Source organism: Homo sapiens, chromosome 17 (assembly GCF_000001405.40).
Source record: "Homo sapiens chromosome 17, GRCh38.p14 Primary Assembly".
In the NCBI taxonomy this organism is placed as follows: Eukaryota; Metazoa; Chordata; class Mammalia; order Primates; family Hominidae; genus Homo; species Homo sapiens.
In genome coordinates this window covers 48,171,247-48,187,966 of record NC_000017.11, presented here as the reverse complement: position 1 = coordinate 48,187,966, position 16,720 = coordinate 48,171,247, and the positions used below count along the sequence as shown (strand labels likewise).

The following is a 16,720-nucleotide window of genomic DNA, read 5'->3' as shown; positions in this document are numbered from 1 at the left end:
AGTTACCTGAATTTATGTCCCCTACTGCTGTTCTGTTTAGATCATAGTTTCTTTGGATCGGAGTGGCAGAAGCGATGGTGTGTTGTCAGCAGAGGTCTCTTCTACTACTATGCTAATGAGAAGAGTAAGTGTTCTTCATTTACACAGCAGCATCTCACTCCTGGATGCAAACACTTCGTAAATTCTCAAGCACTTAGATCCCAAGATAGCAGTCCTTAACTAACACCCATAAAGGGACATGCTTAGGAAAGAAATTGGCATGGACAAATAATACCTTGCCCATCACCGAAAAAGCAGAACCCAATTTAGAAATTATTTCACCTTTAAACACTAAGAGTGTGGTCAGCACATCAAATGGTTATCTTTTATGATGATTAACAACACATTATCAAAGTTGAATGTTTTGGTTTTTAAAAAAAATAAAAAGAACTTCAAACTCTTTACAGGCATCAATACCATAGCTAAAAATTGAAATAAATTAATTCTGAGAAAGACTTAAAGAACTTAAACAATGGCCCAGAAATAGAACCCCCTAAGGGCATGCTCCCTGCTTTATCTTCATGACTGCTAGTAAGTAAGTAGTCCAGTGGACATTCCTATAGCCATGGAATATTGAGACCCAAATGGTTGCTGTACCCAAGGCATGCCCTTCAGCCAGATGACAGCAGCAGTGAAGTGTTGACTCGGGCCAGAGATAGTTTCTTAATGAGCCACCACTGACTTAATCAAGTCAACACTCATGAGCTAACCCTAGAAGACCTCCCATCCATGTTTAATGTAATTGATTGGTTTATGAAAAGAAATAGAGGATATAAGCACAATTGGAGGCAATTACAAATAAAGACAAGCTAAAAATTATTATTATAGATGAATGCAAACTTTCGAATAGGGGATACTCTTCTACAGAGTTGGACTGCCCCAGGAGTAATTCTAAGACGCAAGAGGGAGACAAAGTTTAAAAAGCATCAATTCTTCTTGGGGCTTTCCTTGTACTGTGCACCTTCGTACAGAGGCCAGCGATACAGTTTGAGTAGACTCTTCTTTTTCCTTGCAATCATTTTCTGTTTCTCCTTCCTCAAACTTAGTGCTTTCCCAGTGCCTGGATATCCAATATAGGGAATAATCAGACACCCACCCAGTTGCCTTTGTACTTCCTGCACCTGTGGCACTAAGGTAGTGGAAAGAACTGCAGCTTTGGGCCAGGCACAGTGGCTCACGCCTGTAATCCCAGCACTTTGGGAGGCCAAGGCAGGCAGATCATGAGGTCAGGAGTTCAAGACCAACCTGGCCAACATAGTGAAACCCCGTCTCTACTACTAAAAATACAAAAATTAGCCAGGCATGGTGGCATGTGCCTGTAGGCTGAGGCAGGAGAATTGCTTGAACCCAGGAGGTGGAGGTTGTGGTGAGCCGAGATCACGCCACTGCACTCCACCCTGGGCAACAGAGCGAGACTCTGTCTCAACCATAAATAAATAAATAAATAAATAAATAAATAAATAAATAAATAAAAACTGCAGCTTTGCTAAGTGACTTGAAATCCTTAAGATTTGCCCAAGCAATTGTCTCACACTGCCTGCAGTAGTTATCACAGACCTTTGCCTACCTTTCACCATCCTAGATTCCTCAGAACATTTCGCATCTAGGGGCAAAGGCTAAAGCCCTGTTTGGGAAGGATAACAGCATAGTTTGTAAACTGAGCTACAAGTCCTCTGTGTCCTTCCAACCCCCAGCCCACTCTCCAACCCAGCAACCACAATTTCTCCTCTAAATTATAGGCATTCAATCCAGCCAGTTGTTCTTTTCTTATTTTAAAACTTCAAACTAATATGACACTTCTCACTGTAAATATGTTCATCATTTATTTTGCATTTAAATAAGTGGTTGGCATATCTAGATATAAAACCAGGTGTGTCACATCTGTTCATTCAGAATCTTCCATACTCACGGTGAGAGAGGAGCAGGGAGAGCAAGAGCAAGAGACTCGGAAGCTTTTATTGACCATTTTGCCATTAGGGTGAAATAAAATCTGGTGACCAAAGAAACAACAAAACATTTTAGTGGCCAGTTAGAACAAGGAGAGATACTTTAACAAAAAAGATTCTGGTGTCAAAAAGCACTGTTCCATGGCTCCCTTCTCGCCAGTTATTTCTTACTGTGCCCATGACATTTTCTTAGTAAGAATAGTGTTTGTGTATTTCTTTTAGCTCAACCAGGTGAGCACAGTCTTTTTTCTTCTTCTTTCTTTTTTAATATTGGCATCGCACTGCCATCCTTGTCATCATTATCATCATCAAAAGGCATTTATTAAGCAATTCATTTCACATGATATAGAGCTCAAAGCATCCCAGACACTGTGGTTCCTGTTCTCTGTGTGTTCTGCCTGACCCACACAATGAGGATACAAAATTCTTGAGAGTCACCTCCTCTTTTTCTGTTTCTAACATTTTTTTTAAGTAGTGACAAGCAGAATAGTCTCTCTTCACTTATGGTCCTTTTCCTTTTATCTCCTTCCTCGTCATCTAATAATACTCAACGTTATTCTGCTACTTCCCAGGTTGACCTCTTACAAGGAGGATAAAATACTGAGTTTTAATTATTCTCCCTCTGGCATAAATTCCCACCTGACCAGCAGGGAAGGGGAAGAGAAGTTTAGCCCAAATGCTACATAGGGCATGGGAGGCGATTCTGGGACCTTATAATGCCCCCCTGTGCTGCTGTCCCTCCCCTCAAATGTGAGCTCTGCTGGCCCTGATAATAATGTTTCAGCTTTATAATAGCCTTCAAGAGCCTCACATTTACAGCCACACTCTCTCTGCTGTAATAATTCCTTCTTTCTGTTGTTATAGATCTCTTAACATTCTAATAAATTCTCTGTCTCTGTTGTACTCTTTTGGCAAAATAACCTTTCACGTTGCATTTCCCTAGCTTGGCAGTGATATCTGCCTTACTGTCGCAGTAGCCTCTTCTTAAGCTTCTCTAATAACCTTTCCTTGACTATTGTGGTTCCTCAGGGATGTAACAGCTGTTTCTGTGCTTTTATTTTACATACCAGAGAGGATGCCTTCCCTTGGCAGTTGCATCTCTCTAGGGATACAGGGAGCTTTCCTGTCTTGCAGGCAAGCAGCCCAAAGGGACCTTCCTCATTAAGGGCTACGGTGTACGGATGGCCCCCCACCTGCGAAGAGATTCCAAGAAAGAATCCTGCTTTGAACTGACCTCCCAGGATAGGCGCAGCTATGAGGTAGGACGCATCAAGGAGATGGTGATCCTTCTTGGTGTTGCAGTTTCCTTCTGTATTGCATGTGAGCCATGGTTGCTATGCTGGGTTCCAGCCTTTCTTTGTTACCTGCTCATTTCATGCCAACGAAGACCCTATTTCTTGGCATGTCCTCATATTTGCTATGCCACACCCTCCCCTCTGTTGCCACTCTCATCTTAGATACAGACTTTGCTTGGCTTCCATCCTTCATTCCTCCCCTTCTCAATTTCACTTCATAGGTGAGATGCTTGTCAATTGCAGCACACAATCAAATTCCTTACTTATAGTCTCCGATTTTATGGTTTAAATTCCCATTCTCTTTATTCTTCGACTGATTTTCTTCACTTCCTTCCATGAAATCCCAAAAAAAGATCTAACTGTAGAGTGAAAAAAAATTATTTTCCCATGTTCATCTTGCTATCCAAAATAATCTTCCTGTGTGTAGATGCTTTGCATATCTCTGGAAGGATTTCTAAGATATTGGTGACGATAGTAACAATAATAATTGAAGGACTAGAGGACCTGGTCGGGGCAAGAAAGACTTATTCCGTACTGTGCTCAGTTTGAATCTTTACCTCATTATAAAATTAATGTGTTTTATTTTATTTTTGCCATCTTCATGCTGAATGACCAATAAAATTTAAAAATTTCTGACTGTGGAAATATAGTGATTTTCACCAAAAATGTATGTTTGCATGTGTGTGTATTGTTTCCTGCTTTTTGGTAATTTTTATCTTATCACAATTTTATTAAAGCAATTTAGAAAAACTTTAGCTTATGAAAAAGGAAAACACCATACTAAGAGTAAATTAACCACTTAAGTAACACTTTTAGTCTTCAGACTTTTCTCAGCATTCTTCTTTTTTATTTCTACAGTATCTTAACTCTTATTTTGTTAAAGGACCTAGGTCTTCATTATGTAATTTCCAGAAATTTTTTGAAATTTGAACTAAAACTTTTCTATAGAGTCTTTTATGAATATATATAATATAGATCTATGCACTGAATATGTTCCTAGTTATTTTTATTATTACATTCTGATAGTAACACATCCAGGTAAAAGTTTACGTAACAAGTCTAAACCAGTATTTCTAGAAATGTTTTTATAGAAATTTGTTTTTAAGAAATCAAGAATAACAATGTCTATTAATAAGCATTATGCAGGAATCCAGTTTCTTTGTATAGCATATACCTTTACCTTACCCTAATGGCCAGATAATTAAAATATTTTTCAGGAACAATTATTTCAAGTTGATTCATTTAAAATAAAAAAATTACTAAAGGCTGATGCTTGACTGGCCTATTTTGTTAATCAGAATGTACTTTATTTACTTCTTTTCTTTGGCCTATTGAATCCAAATCGTTACCATGGTCTGTGGATTCTTCTTCTACAATATCCTTTGGCTCTTTCCCTTCTTATTTATTCCCACAGCTATCACAATAGTTAAGTTCCTGTCACTTCATCCAGAGGACCAGTTGGTCTTCTGCCTCCAGATTTCTCTATTCCAATCCTTCCTACTCACTACTATTGAAAGAATCCCCCACTCCTTTTGCTAGAGCTGATAGTGGCTTCCTGTTGCCTGCATTTTAACTCTGAACTCCTAGTACTCAGAGCCCTTTTACCGACTCTTCTCTGACCCTCAACTCTCCAACTTCATCTGTTATTGTTCTTCAGTCAAGCTGATCTGCCAGGCTTCCCCGTAAGTCATGTTCTCATTCCTGTTCTTTTGCACATAGGCCTGCCTACCTAAAATGTCCAACTCTGTCCACCAGTTTCCACCAACTCTTCTTTAAAATCCAGCCAAAATGGTATTATTTCAGCAAGCCACTCTGACCTACTCTAGGCAACAACAGGTGCTCCCTGTCTCCTCTTGATATCCGGTTGTTACAAAATGTGCCTCCTTTTAGTGTTCCCGTTTCATGTGTGTGGGTTGGTTTGCTTCTTTTTCTTGTAAACTTTTCTCAAATAAATGTCTGATGAAGGAATAGATAATCAAATGAAAGAATGCACAAGGACATGAATGTCTAGACTCAAAGAGCTGTCATCTCTGGGTATGCAAAATTGCAGAAGGAAAAAATCAGTTTGAGTGAAATATTTGGTCTTTTTTCTATATGTTAAGCAGGCAGAGAATCCTGAGCTTTAAACTTGACTCTGAAACTCAGTGGTTCCTCCCCCTTGGACATCCCTGTCAAGATTCATGGAAATTTTAGTGACAGTGATAAATTAATTCACTGATTTTTCTCTAGTTTACAGCTACTAGTCCAGCAGAAGCCAGAGACTGGGTGGATCAAATAAGTTTCTTGTTAAAGGGTAAGTGTCATTGTTACAGAAATAATACTTGAGTTGATTTGCAGTTGAAGTTATGTTGCATAAATATAATCTACAGACTTCAGTATGTATTTTTTCTGCCCTTTCTCACCTCTACCTTTCCTACCACATTCCCCATATTACAACAACAAATAGTACTATGTGTGAATGAGAAGATAAAGACAGTATCAACCTTGGGAGGACCTCTGGTATCATAGCTCATCCACCTACCTACAGGCAAGTCTGTAATATTCAAAATCACTAGAAAAGGAGATTCTAAAAATCAGCTCAGCCCAATTCGGTGTCTCCTAACCCCTTATATTCTGGAAAGGAAATTCATAATATCCAACTTAAAGTCATCTAGTTGCAATTGAGGTTCAAAATCTCCTTATTTTAGTCTTAGGAGGAAGTAGAAATCTAAACCAATCTAGATGGTCTTCAGGGACATTGGACATTAAAAACAAACTGTTATTTCCCAAGCCACAATAAGATGTTCCTTGCTTTGGGATGGGAAGAGTCCTGCCTGAAGATGGTAAATGACTGCTCTTAGAGTACCCTCTGCTGGCCAGCCTGTAGGCAAAGCAGAAACAATGGCCAGGGAAGCCTTATCTGGGAGTGGTCTGTCAGGTAGAATAAGCCAACCTTGAGTTAGTCACTCGGTATTATATAATTGTCACCTACCATCATGGCAGGACCCTACCTCTGTTCTGCAGAAAGGCAGAAACACCAACTTTATACATGGCCCAAGACCTAGAAAGACACACGTCAAGCTAAAAACGCAAAGCCTTTTCATCTCAGATTTTTATTCTGCTATAAGATTTTATTGTGGATAAAAAGAAGGAAGCACCAGTGCTTTAATTACAAGAATTGCCTGTTTTACTCAGTTATGCCTTTGCTATCACAAAAGCAAACTATTGCATCTACCAACAGCGTCACGTATAATAGACTGGAACTAGGCAAACATGAACATTGATGGCGAGACTACAGGGTACACTCTCATCTAGGTGCCTTGGATTTATGCGTGTAATATACCCCTAAGTGTGTAAACCTCAATAAAACTCAAAGCAGCTTTATTGAGCTGTACCCTGTGGTACTTTCAGAATCCCACATTGAAGAAATTATTCATTCCATTTTATTTTAAAACAAAATAATAACATATGGTTTAAGCCACAAATGTGTTTTTGATCTTTTCCTCGTATGTGGTGGCACCAAAATTCAGATGAAAATTGTTGCAAAATCTTTATTAAAAGGCTAATCAAGCCAAACAATTTTATTGCATTTTGAAATGAAAGTTGGACGTCTCTCCATCCTTTCCTTCCCCAGAGTATGCTGACTGCACTCACCCATCCTGCAGAGGGCCCTCAGCAGGGTTTCAGAGAGCACTCTGTAGTACACATCAGAGAATGAACATTCTCAGTTCCCCATTAAAATAAAAAACCAATCTCCCTCCCCTGCCCTGGTGCTCCCCAGTGCTGTAATGGCTCAACACCTTCTATGCAGTGACCCACTTTAAGGTCAGCTAGACTGTGCAGTTGCAAAAGGACATGGTAACTGCATTGTTCAGCCATTCCATTTGGTCTTGTATTACTGTTATATTTTTCCATACCCCGTTTCTTTTTATCTTCCACTGTTGCCCATTTTTTTCTCTGCGAACAAACTTGTCTGAAATTCTGCAGTGAAATCACTGGGGAGATAAGCTTCTGACAGCTCCAGCACCCTACAGAGGCCACCTTAGCTCCCACGGCCTGAGTACCCTGGAGGACTGCAAGCCTTCACTCACCCTTCCAGTTTTCTACGTGATAAGCTGTGTACAGCACACTGGCTTTTCCTCTTCTGGCCTATTTTCTTCCCTTTGCCTCATGTTCTCATTCACACACCCATACTTTTCAGGCTGCTTCACTCTGATCAAGTTTTATTGCAAGGAAGGATTTATGTTGATGGTTTAAACCTGATGCAGTGCTATTCTGGCCTTTTCTGTAGATTTCCTGCCACCAAAGCCCACATTAGAAATAATAGCATTTAACCTAATGTTTCATTTTCATTTGACATATTTTACTCTCATCCCTCCTCCTCCTTCTCCCTCTTTCCTTTCCTGTCTTATTTTCTTTTTCTCTGTTTCTTGATTCATTCTCATCTTTGCCTTGTTAGATCTGAGCTCCTTAACCATTCCATATGAAGAGGATGAGGAGGAAGAAGAAAAAGAAGAGACATATGATGATATTGATGGTTTTGACTCCCCAAGTTGTGGTTCCCAGTGCAGACCCACTATCTTGCCTGGGAGTGTGGGGATAAAAGAGCCTACAGAGGAGAAAGAAGAAGAAGATATTTATGAAGTCTTGCCAGGTGAGAAATTTTGTCCTCTGATTATCTTATGCTAGTTTCAGAAATTCATGACCTGGTGGAAGAATAATAACTTTGAAAATTCCAAAGGAAGCCAAATCTAACCCTCATCCTCTGAAGGAGATAATGTGGGACGCTTTATGAGATTGTAGGGAAGTGGGTAATGAGGCTCTGCCTTGCTCTGGGAGCAAGAAGAATTTGATTAATGAGTGTCTTCTATCCATGCCATGTGAAGTAACTTTTTACATGTGTCCACCAGGTTAAAGAGTCAACAATACTTACGTTGGTTTTTATTGGTTTATTGTGAGTTTTGGAATGAGTCATCAAAATTCTCTAGTTTCAACTTTTTGGTGTGTAGTTGTGAGAATAATGGAAAATCGCTTCAAAATTATGAAGGATTTCAAAACTCTGAAATATGCAAATGCTGACCAACCTTTCTAGTAATACCTTGATAGACCAAACCTTGATAGTAAACCTTGATAGAGAACAACTCATTATTACCTAGTTCAGATATACCATGAATCAAATCACATCTCTTAAAAATAACCCTAACATGTTTTATCTGCTCATCATTACAGCAGGTCTACTCAATATATTTCCTTTCTTCCAAAGGCATGAAAACTAGCATCTCAAAAAATGTATAGTCATCACTGCTTCTGCATAGCCATGTCTGGTGGGGATAACAGCAGCTGGTGAATGGTGCAAAGCTCAGTGGGGGTCAGACAGTGGAGAACCAAAGCCTGAGCCTTTTAATTGTGAAGTAGTTAGACCACAGGAACGCTAATCTTCAAGTCCATTCAGAAAGATCATTCCTATGGAAATTTGCCAGGAGTTCAGTGCTCTGCTGAGAAATTCAAGTTAAGCCTAAATTTATAACAATTTAGATCCCAGATGAACCCAGATGAACCTCAATCCCAGATGAACCTAAGAGCTAAGGTGAATCTAACACTCAAGTCCCTGAAGACAGGGCTGGTTGCTGAAAGCATCATCAGTAGGCAACTTGCATTTCAAGGCTTCCTAAGAAGAGCGTCCAACCCTCTCCACACTGCATTCATCTCTTCCTGGGGAAGAAGCTACGTCTTTGCTTCCTGAGTCAAGTGGCAGGACTGTGACCACATGTCCCTGCCCTGCTGGGGACTTCACCCACCCTCCAAGGAGAGCCTGCTTCTTCTCCTAGCACTTCCAGCCTCTACCAGTCCCGACTTCTCCAGCCTTTTTGTTGTGTTTTATTATGCAAATGATATCTTGGTTGAGGTCGAGCCATTTCTTGTGTCTGACGTTAAAAAAAATGATAATTTCCTCAGCAAGTCATCGTCGTTAATGAAGTTTTACAAAAACAGATACAACCAAAGGAAAATAAAATTTCACAGGTGATAAATTTTTCCAATTTCCCTGGCAGAATTCGATAGGATTGTTAAATTAAGAGTGAAGGTGTCTGTTAGAAAGCAACGAGCAGTGATGGGTAATTTTATAGAGTGGAAAATTGAATCAAATTGCTACATTAAAACACAGCTCCTCTGAGAATCTTCCCTTTCACAGTCGGCTCCATTGCAACAGCAGGGTGCAGAAATGGATCTAATTCACAATACTCCCTAAAAGGAGATGCATTCCCCAGCTTGGCCAGAATCTTCCTAGTGAGCTCACATTCTGCTCACTCCTGCCCAGGCTTGGGGAAATATCCGGGTGACACTCCACTTTGGGTTACAACTGTGGAAGAATGCTCTGGGAAAACCTCAGTGAACCTTCTCGGGTGGAAAGAAAGGGCCTTTTTCTGCACCATGTTTCGTTTTCAAAGGAGTCGGGGGGCGGGGGCTGATGCTTAGAGACACAGAGCAAAGGTGAATAAAGAGGAAGAGTCCTCAAAAAATAAGATGAGTTTGGGACTGTCACCTTACCCCAGGAGTGGGCAATGAAGGTATGATTGGCTTCCTAATGACCATCTTTCTCCTGCCTCCTAAACTCCTCCCCTTGGCCAATGCAGCACCGCCCAGAGTATCAGGGCATTTTTCCAAAATTTACACCAGCTGGTATGTTGGAGTGGCCCCAAGGGCATGAAGACTCATCTGTAGGTACATTTAACCTCTATCCACAACAGCTGCCCATTGGAAGTGAGGAAGGCCACACAGTAGGAAATCCAGGATCTCTTTCTGCAGGTTAGGGAAACAACAGCTAAACTGCACCTAGTTTCCAAAGGACAACACTGTACCCAGCCAACAGGTTCTTTCCCATAAGCCTCTATCCATCACAGTTCTTAGAGTCAGAGTTGGAGGTGGGATATATTGGCATTTAATTATGATATGAATATTTCAGCCACAAGTTTCCATCACCCAGCTTCCTGTCCACTCCACTTAGCTGTTGCTTCTGAACTTGCTGTTTGAATTTTGCATAGTGCCACACCTGGAGAAATTAAGAAGGGAATGTGAGGGGGCCTAACACTGTCTCCTTTCTGCTGCCCTCTCATAAGACCATCTACCAAGCAGCGGCACATGAGACAGCAATGGTATCCTAGGCACAGATACTAGCTCTAAATCAGGATGGATTTGCTCTGCCACCTGCTAGCTGTGAGATCTTGAGCAAGTTACTTGCCCTCTCTGTCTGATTGTATTACCTGCAAAACAGGGAAAACAATAGTAGCTGTCTCAGATGGATGTGCTGAGGAGTCTGGAACTGACATGTGTAAAGTTCTTAGCACAGAACCCTGGCAAACAATGGCATACAGTGAGTACTCAGTAAATGCTGGCTGTTATTAATGTGATGGTGTTTAAACAGGAAGTGTTACCTCCTTGAAGAACTGGGGATGGTTAGGTCCCTGCCCTCTCGAACCAGACCTGAGACAGTCCAGTTGGTTATTTCCAGCTATGTGTATGGAGCAGGTGAAACTGAAAATCCTGAGCAGATGGAATGTGGAGTGCACCTTCTGCTCAGGCCCATTTTGACTACGAGGCCAGGTGCTGGGTGGAGGGACAGCCTACAGTAACATTGGATTGTGCTAACATTGCATACCCATCAAGAGTCAAATGATGTGGGCCTCTAACATTTGTTTCCTTATAATAGGTAAATGTGCTTTGTGGAGGATATTTAACATTGACGGTTCTGCTAATCCTCCCTTTTGGGATGGGGCCCACACAAGCCCACACTGTCTCTATAGGGAAAGCCATGTAAGTGAGACCTTCCTTCCAGAGTATAATTTAGATGGGCTTCCTAATAGGGAGAAAAGTGTATGTAATACATACCAAGTCAATAAAAAATGTTTTTTTGTAATCAAAATAACGCATGGGTCATCACATTAAACTCACTCCATCACATTAATCATGGGATAATTAGCATTTGCTATGTGGCTAGCACTCTTCTCCCCTTGAGGGAAAACCAGAGCCCTCAAGGTTTTCAGCCAGGCCACAAAAACGTTAGTCCTGGAAAATATGGTTTCAAGGTTGGTATCTGGTGGAATTTCTGAACATCCGTGTTGAGCATATGTGGGCCCTTGATTTTTTTAGGATCTCATTTGCAGTAGATTAAACTGCAGGGAACTACCACAAAGAAATGCTAAAGCAATATGTAGAAAATGGAGGCTTTTCTGAGCCCTCTCTCACCACCACCACCACCACCACCGAAGTTATTTTACAGGCCAGCATAGGCCCAGCTCCATGATTCAAGATTCCATAAAAGGACAACTTTTGTCAGGTTTCGCTTTGTCTGAGGTCTCAAGGCTGGGATCCAGCAAGACGTCTGAGACCATTGAAGTGCTGTAACTGGGGCCTTGTAGCAGCTGCAATGGCAACGGAATCTGGCTGTGTTCTCTAGAGAGATTTCAGAAGAGCAAATGGAAAGAGAGATGACGAGCCATCTTTGGGAATTTCTGTGCACATTCCAATGCTGCCCACACTGCCCCAGGGTGTTATTATAAACCTAGAAACCAGATTGCTTTAAAATAAAGCATATAACTGAGTTTTTAAAATTTTGAGTCAAATGGAAACAAGCATTCTGTGGAATTATTTTTCCCCCTGTACAGTTGTTCAGACCCACAGGAAGGGGGAACAGTGAAGATAAGAAGTCTAAGGAAATGAAACAAAATAGAGACCAAAAATACAAAGTTTATGAAGAAAGAGCATCAGGGAAGAGTCAACACCAACATCAGGCCTCCTCTGAACTTCTGGCCTTTTCTCTGTCTTACTCCCATGCCCACTGAGCCCCAGCCACACAGTGCTGCTTGGCCAGCACCAAAACTAGAATCATGTTGTTTCTTCTACCTAGACCATCCCCCTGATCTCAGCCTGTGAAATCATACACATTCTGCTCAAATATGTCTCCTCAGTGACACCTTCCCAGATACTCAACTGGAATTAAGCTTTGTTTTAGCCCTCACCAGTGATTTGTATTCAGGTCTTTCTCCCCAGTTAGTAGATGCTTAGGTATTATTTGTGAAGTTAAATTCAGTGCATTCCAAGTGTTGCAGTTAGCACAAATTGAGTTTAATATCTTATACATCAAGCCCATATCACTGAAATAGGATGCGAATATTTTGAGCTAACAGTTGAGATAACCAAATACACAACAGAGAATTAAATGTGTTATTAGCATCTTGCTTGTATTTTGCATGTTGTCTGATGAGGTGCTATACATCCGTGGATTTATAACATATCTGTGCATGCGGGGGAGCAGTTTATTTCTACTTTTCTGCATGTCCCCTTTGCACCTTGAGTCTATCTGTATTTCTGTTGCATCTGTCACCACAGCACCTTGACATCTGGTTGCACATTTACACAGTTGGCATTTTTTGAAGCTTTTATCACTTTCTTTATTTGGGGAAGTAACTGATTTCCCCTCTTTCTGATTTAGTCATTTTTTTCTAATGTTATTCTTTCTGATATCAGTGTAGCCAATGTCAGAGGAGTGTCAGAGCAGCACTTCAGAAAATAGCCAGGTGTCATGAGAAGCTGCTGGCTCCTCTCTGTCCCTCTGAGGTGGATTCAGTGTCCTATTCCTCTCAGCCTCTCATTAGTGTCCCTGACATTGTGCCAAGAATGTTTATTGAAATCGACTCTCCAGATACTGATGCTCATTTGTGATGCCCCATGGTTCTCTTACATGTTCACACAGTTAACAGAATCTTCTTCAACTGTTTTCCCAATTGAGATGAGATATTTGGGGATCAAGTAGAGCATTTAATGTGATAAGTGGACAGTAATCTTTAGAGGTTAATTTGTTTAAAACCTATGTAAGGTTGGGGTCCCATATGCCCTGTTAGGAGCAAGGACCATTATAATCCATTACTGTTTAAAGTTGAGCTAGCACATAAATTTTAATTCACTCTTAAATGAAGATGTATTTCAGTAGACATAATGCTGAAATGCCTAATAATATTCTTATAAAGAAATTCAACAAGCTCTTTAGCCTAAAAAATATTTTTCAAAATAGTCTCTTAAAATTAAAGTGTCACATTAAAGATTAATAAAAATGAGAACTTTAGCTATTTAACCCACCCCTTCTTGTGAGCAACAAGACTTTTTTTCTGTTGCCATATAATAGTTGTCTTTGACTCTGGGGTTGCAAAGACACCTGTTCAGTTTCATGGAAAGATCTGAGATAACTTGTATGCCTATTTGTATTGTGCCCTCTGAACCTAGGGAGGTGTCTAGGGGTGTAATTTTCACAACCAGCTGTGAATGGTGTTTTCCTTCACTATGTGACAGTGCCCCCTACCCAGTCTTCCAAAGACCCCAGAGGCATAGCGCCAAGCCCATCAATGGGAAGGCTTCTTGATTTGAGCCTACTTTCAGCCACCTGGGAAGGACGGTGTTAGATAAAACAGATGTGGGGATTGGAGCTTCCCCGTTTACATCCATCATCGTAGAGCTTAGTAATGGCGGTGAATGATATAAAAGCTCTATAGCCAATGTTTTTTTTTTCTTTCTAGTTGATTCCAAAAGTGCAGTGGAAATCAAGAGTAACTGGTCTGGAACTGAACTGCATAGAACACATTTCTATTGTTCCATCTTTGTATTATGACTAGATTAAGTGCTGTTGCCCAAAAGAATAAAGGAATTAAGTTTTAGTTTTCATTTTTATCATTGCAAATACATTTACATTCTCCTATTTTACAAATGCAAAGAGCAGGCAAGCCACTTTCAATAATTTATTTTAAAATCAATGCTAATGAGGTTATGTCTCGTCAGTGGCCGAGTTTTACAATAAAGTCTGATTTATTTAGAAAAGATCTTTGGTGAAGCTTCCCATCTAATGGTGGTGGGAAGGAGGTGGAGTAGCAGCACTGTGACCCTCCAACTTCGGATCCAATTTGTAATTCACAGTGGAGATCTGACCCAATTTACATTGATTAGAATTGGGAGGAAGAGACAGCTGCGCACAGACAGCAGAGGTAGAATAAACCTCTGCAAAAGTGCCTAAGCACAGCAAATTATTGGTCTTTGTGATGGAGTTGTTTGATATCAACAAAAGAGCTGCTCTCTGTCCAAATTATTGGGTATCTCTAAAACTGAGGTTGTACCAACTTTTCCTCTAATGTTTCCAATCCTAAAATTAGTCCCATGTCAAAAAAGAAATGCATCATAGCTGAGAAAGGAAGGAAGTGGACGAGTAACGAGAAGACAATGTGCAAAGAATGTTTAATGTGGTTTATTTCAGCATGATCTGTTTCCTATATTTGATTTCACTCCTCCATTAGCTTAGGTTGTTTTATTCCTCGTGGTAGGGTTGAGGGAGCACTACAGGTGTCAAGTAGAACATTCTCTGCTGCTAGATCATACATGGCTATAAGAACTGTTGAGTCAAAGTGCTCCTTTTCCCATACTATATTGTAGGGCATATATATATATATTTTATTTCCCAGAGTATCCGTCCTTTTTTTTTTTTAGAGACAAGGTCTCGCTCTGTTGCCCAGGCCCAGGCTGGACTGCAGTAGCGCAATCATGGCTTACTGCAGCCTCAAACTCTTGGGCTCAGGCAATCCTCTTGCTTCAGTCTCCCAAGTAGCTGGAACTACAGGTGTGCATCACTGTGCCTAGCTAATTTTTATTTTTATTTTTTATAGAGACAGGGTCTTGCTCTGTTGTCTATGCTGGTGTCTAACTCTTGGGCTCAAGTGATCCTCCCATCTCAGCCTACCAGAGTGCTGGGATTACAGGCATGAGCCACCACACCTGGCCATATCAGTCTCTTTCTTACTTGAAATCAATTACTCCTTTAATGCTTTATAGTATTCTAATATATTTTTATGCTGCTCCTTCTTACCTATGAGCTTGGAGCTTACTTCCCCAGTTTGGCATACCGGAACTCATATTGCCCTATAAACATTACATTTAAAAAAAGAAAGAGAAATGTCAAAGTTTCATTTAGTGGCAAAACTATGGAGAAGCAAGACAAGCAAATGTCATTAAGACTCAGGAGAAAGGAAAGTAAATGTGGCCAGGAGGAGCTGAGTATTCAGCCCTCAAAACATTGCTTACTATACCCTATCTACTGTGCATATGTGTGTATATATGTGTGAGTGAGAGAGTGGGAAAAGAGCATGGTGGTAGTGAAAAGAATAACGAGTGTATTTTTCTTCACTTTGCCCCATGTATAAAATAGCTAAATATGATTCTGGTACACATATTTACATTATAAGGGTCCAATTCCTATTTTATCGGGTAATGTGACGAGATGAAACCGGTTAATGGGAGTAAGAAACTTAGGCCAATTATGTTATGACTTTGACCGTATAAACATTTGACTGGAGTTAGACACTGGCATTGAGTTAGAACCCATTGTGAATCTACGGCAATTAATTAAAAGACCATTCCAGCTACCCTCAGGAGCTTATACTCTAATGAACAAGACATGCTGAATAAAAACAGTAAAAAGATAACTACAAGCCCCAAGTACTAGGAACATAAAATTATGTACATGACCAGCCTCCATTACAGCTGAACAAAGATGGATACATTAAGGATTAAGGACTAATTAATCAAAGAGGGTTTTTTGTTTTTTGTTTTTTCCCCAGGACAGAGTCTTGCTCTGTCACCCAGGCTGGAGTGCAGTGGCACAATCTCGGCTCACTGCAACCTCTGCCTCCTGGATTCAAGCAATTCTCTTGCCTCAGCCTCCTGAGTAGCCGGGGTTACAGGCGCCCGCCACAGGCCCAGCTGATTTTTGTATTTTTAGCACAGACGGGGTTTCACCATGTTGACCAGGCTGGTCTCCAACTCCTGACCTCATGATCTGCCCGCCTCGGCCTCCCAAAGTGTTGGGATTACAGGCATGAGCCACCGCACCCAGCCAATCACAGAGGGTTGTTCACACACACACACACACACACACACACACTCTAACATCCTAACTCTAGAATGCTTAAAACTAGAGAGAATGCTTGCATAGAGATAATAATTTTGAAGAGAATTCCAGAGGGAAGGAGAAATGGAGTTTGAGGAAAAGGATTAGGATTCTGGTGATAGACATCTAAATAATCCAATGGACTGGAAGCTCCACAAGGGCAGGAACTCTGACAGTCTTGTTTATTGCTTGTCCCCAGTTCCTAGTGCAATGTCTTGCATGTAATGAGCACTTCAACATGCTTATGAATAAATGAAAGGGAAGGGAAGGAGAGGGCCAGTTTGAAGGTGACAAATTAATATTTTTTTTAAGAACACAGTAATTGCCAGGCACGGTGGCTCACGCCTGTAATCCCAGCACTTTGGGAGGCCAAGGTGGGCGGATCATCTGAGGTCAGGAGTTTGAGACCAGCCTGATCAACATGGAGAAACCCCATCTTCACTAAAGATACAAAATTAGCTGGGCATGGTGCTGTGAGCCTG

The 16,720-nt window shown here is 40.8% G+C and overlaps 1 protein-coding gene across 13 annotated transcripts in view; it reads left to right on the top strand.

Moving 5' to 3' along the window:
* The window catches only part of SKAP1 (src kinase associated phosphoprotein 1), a 311,620-nt gene that overhangs the window by 257,095 nt on the left and 37,805 nt on the right, over positions 1–16,720 (top strand). For all 13 annotated transcript variants that reach the window (XM_005257755.5, NM_001075099.2, NM_003726.4 and 10 more), the window contains 4 exons: positions 41–124; positions 3,120–3,244; positions 5,510–5,573; positions 7,719–7,913. In XM_005257755.5, coding sequence (XP_005257812.1) covers positions 41–124; positions 3,120–3,244; positions 5,510–5,573; positions 7,719–7,913 — 468 coding nt within the window. The remainder of the gene's footprint in view (positions 1–40; positions 125–3,119; positions 3,245–5,509; positions 5,574–7,718; positions 7,914–16,720) is intronic.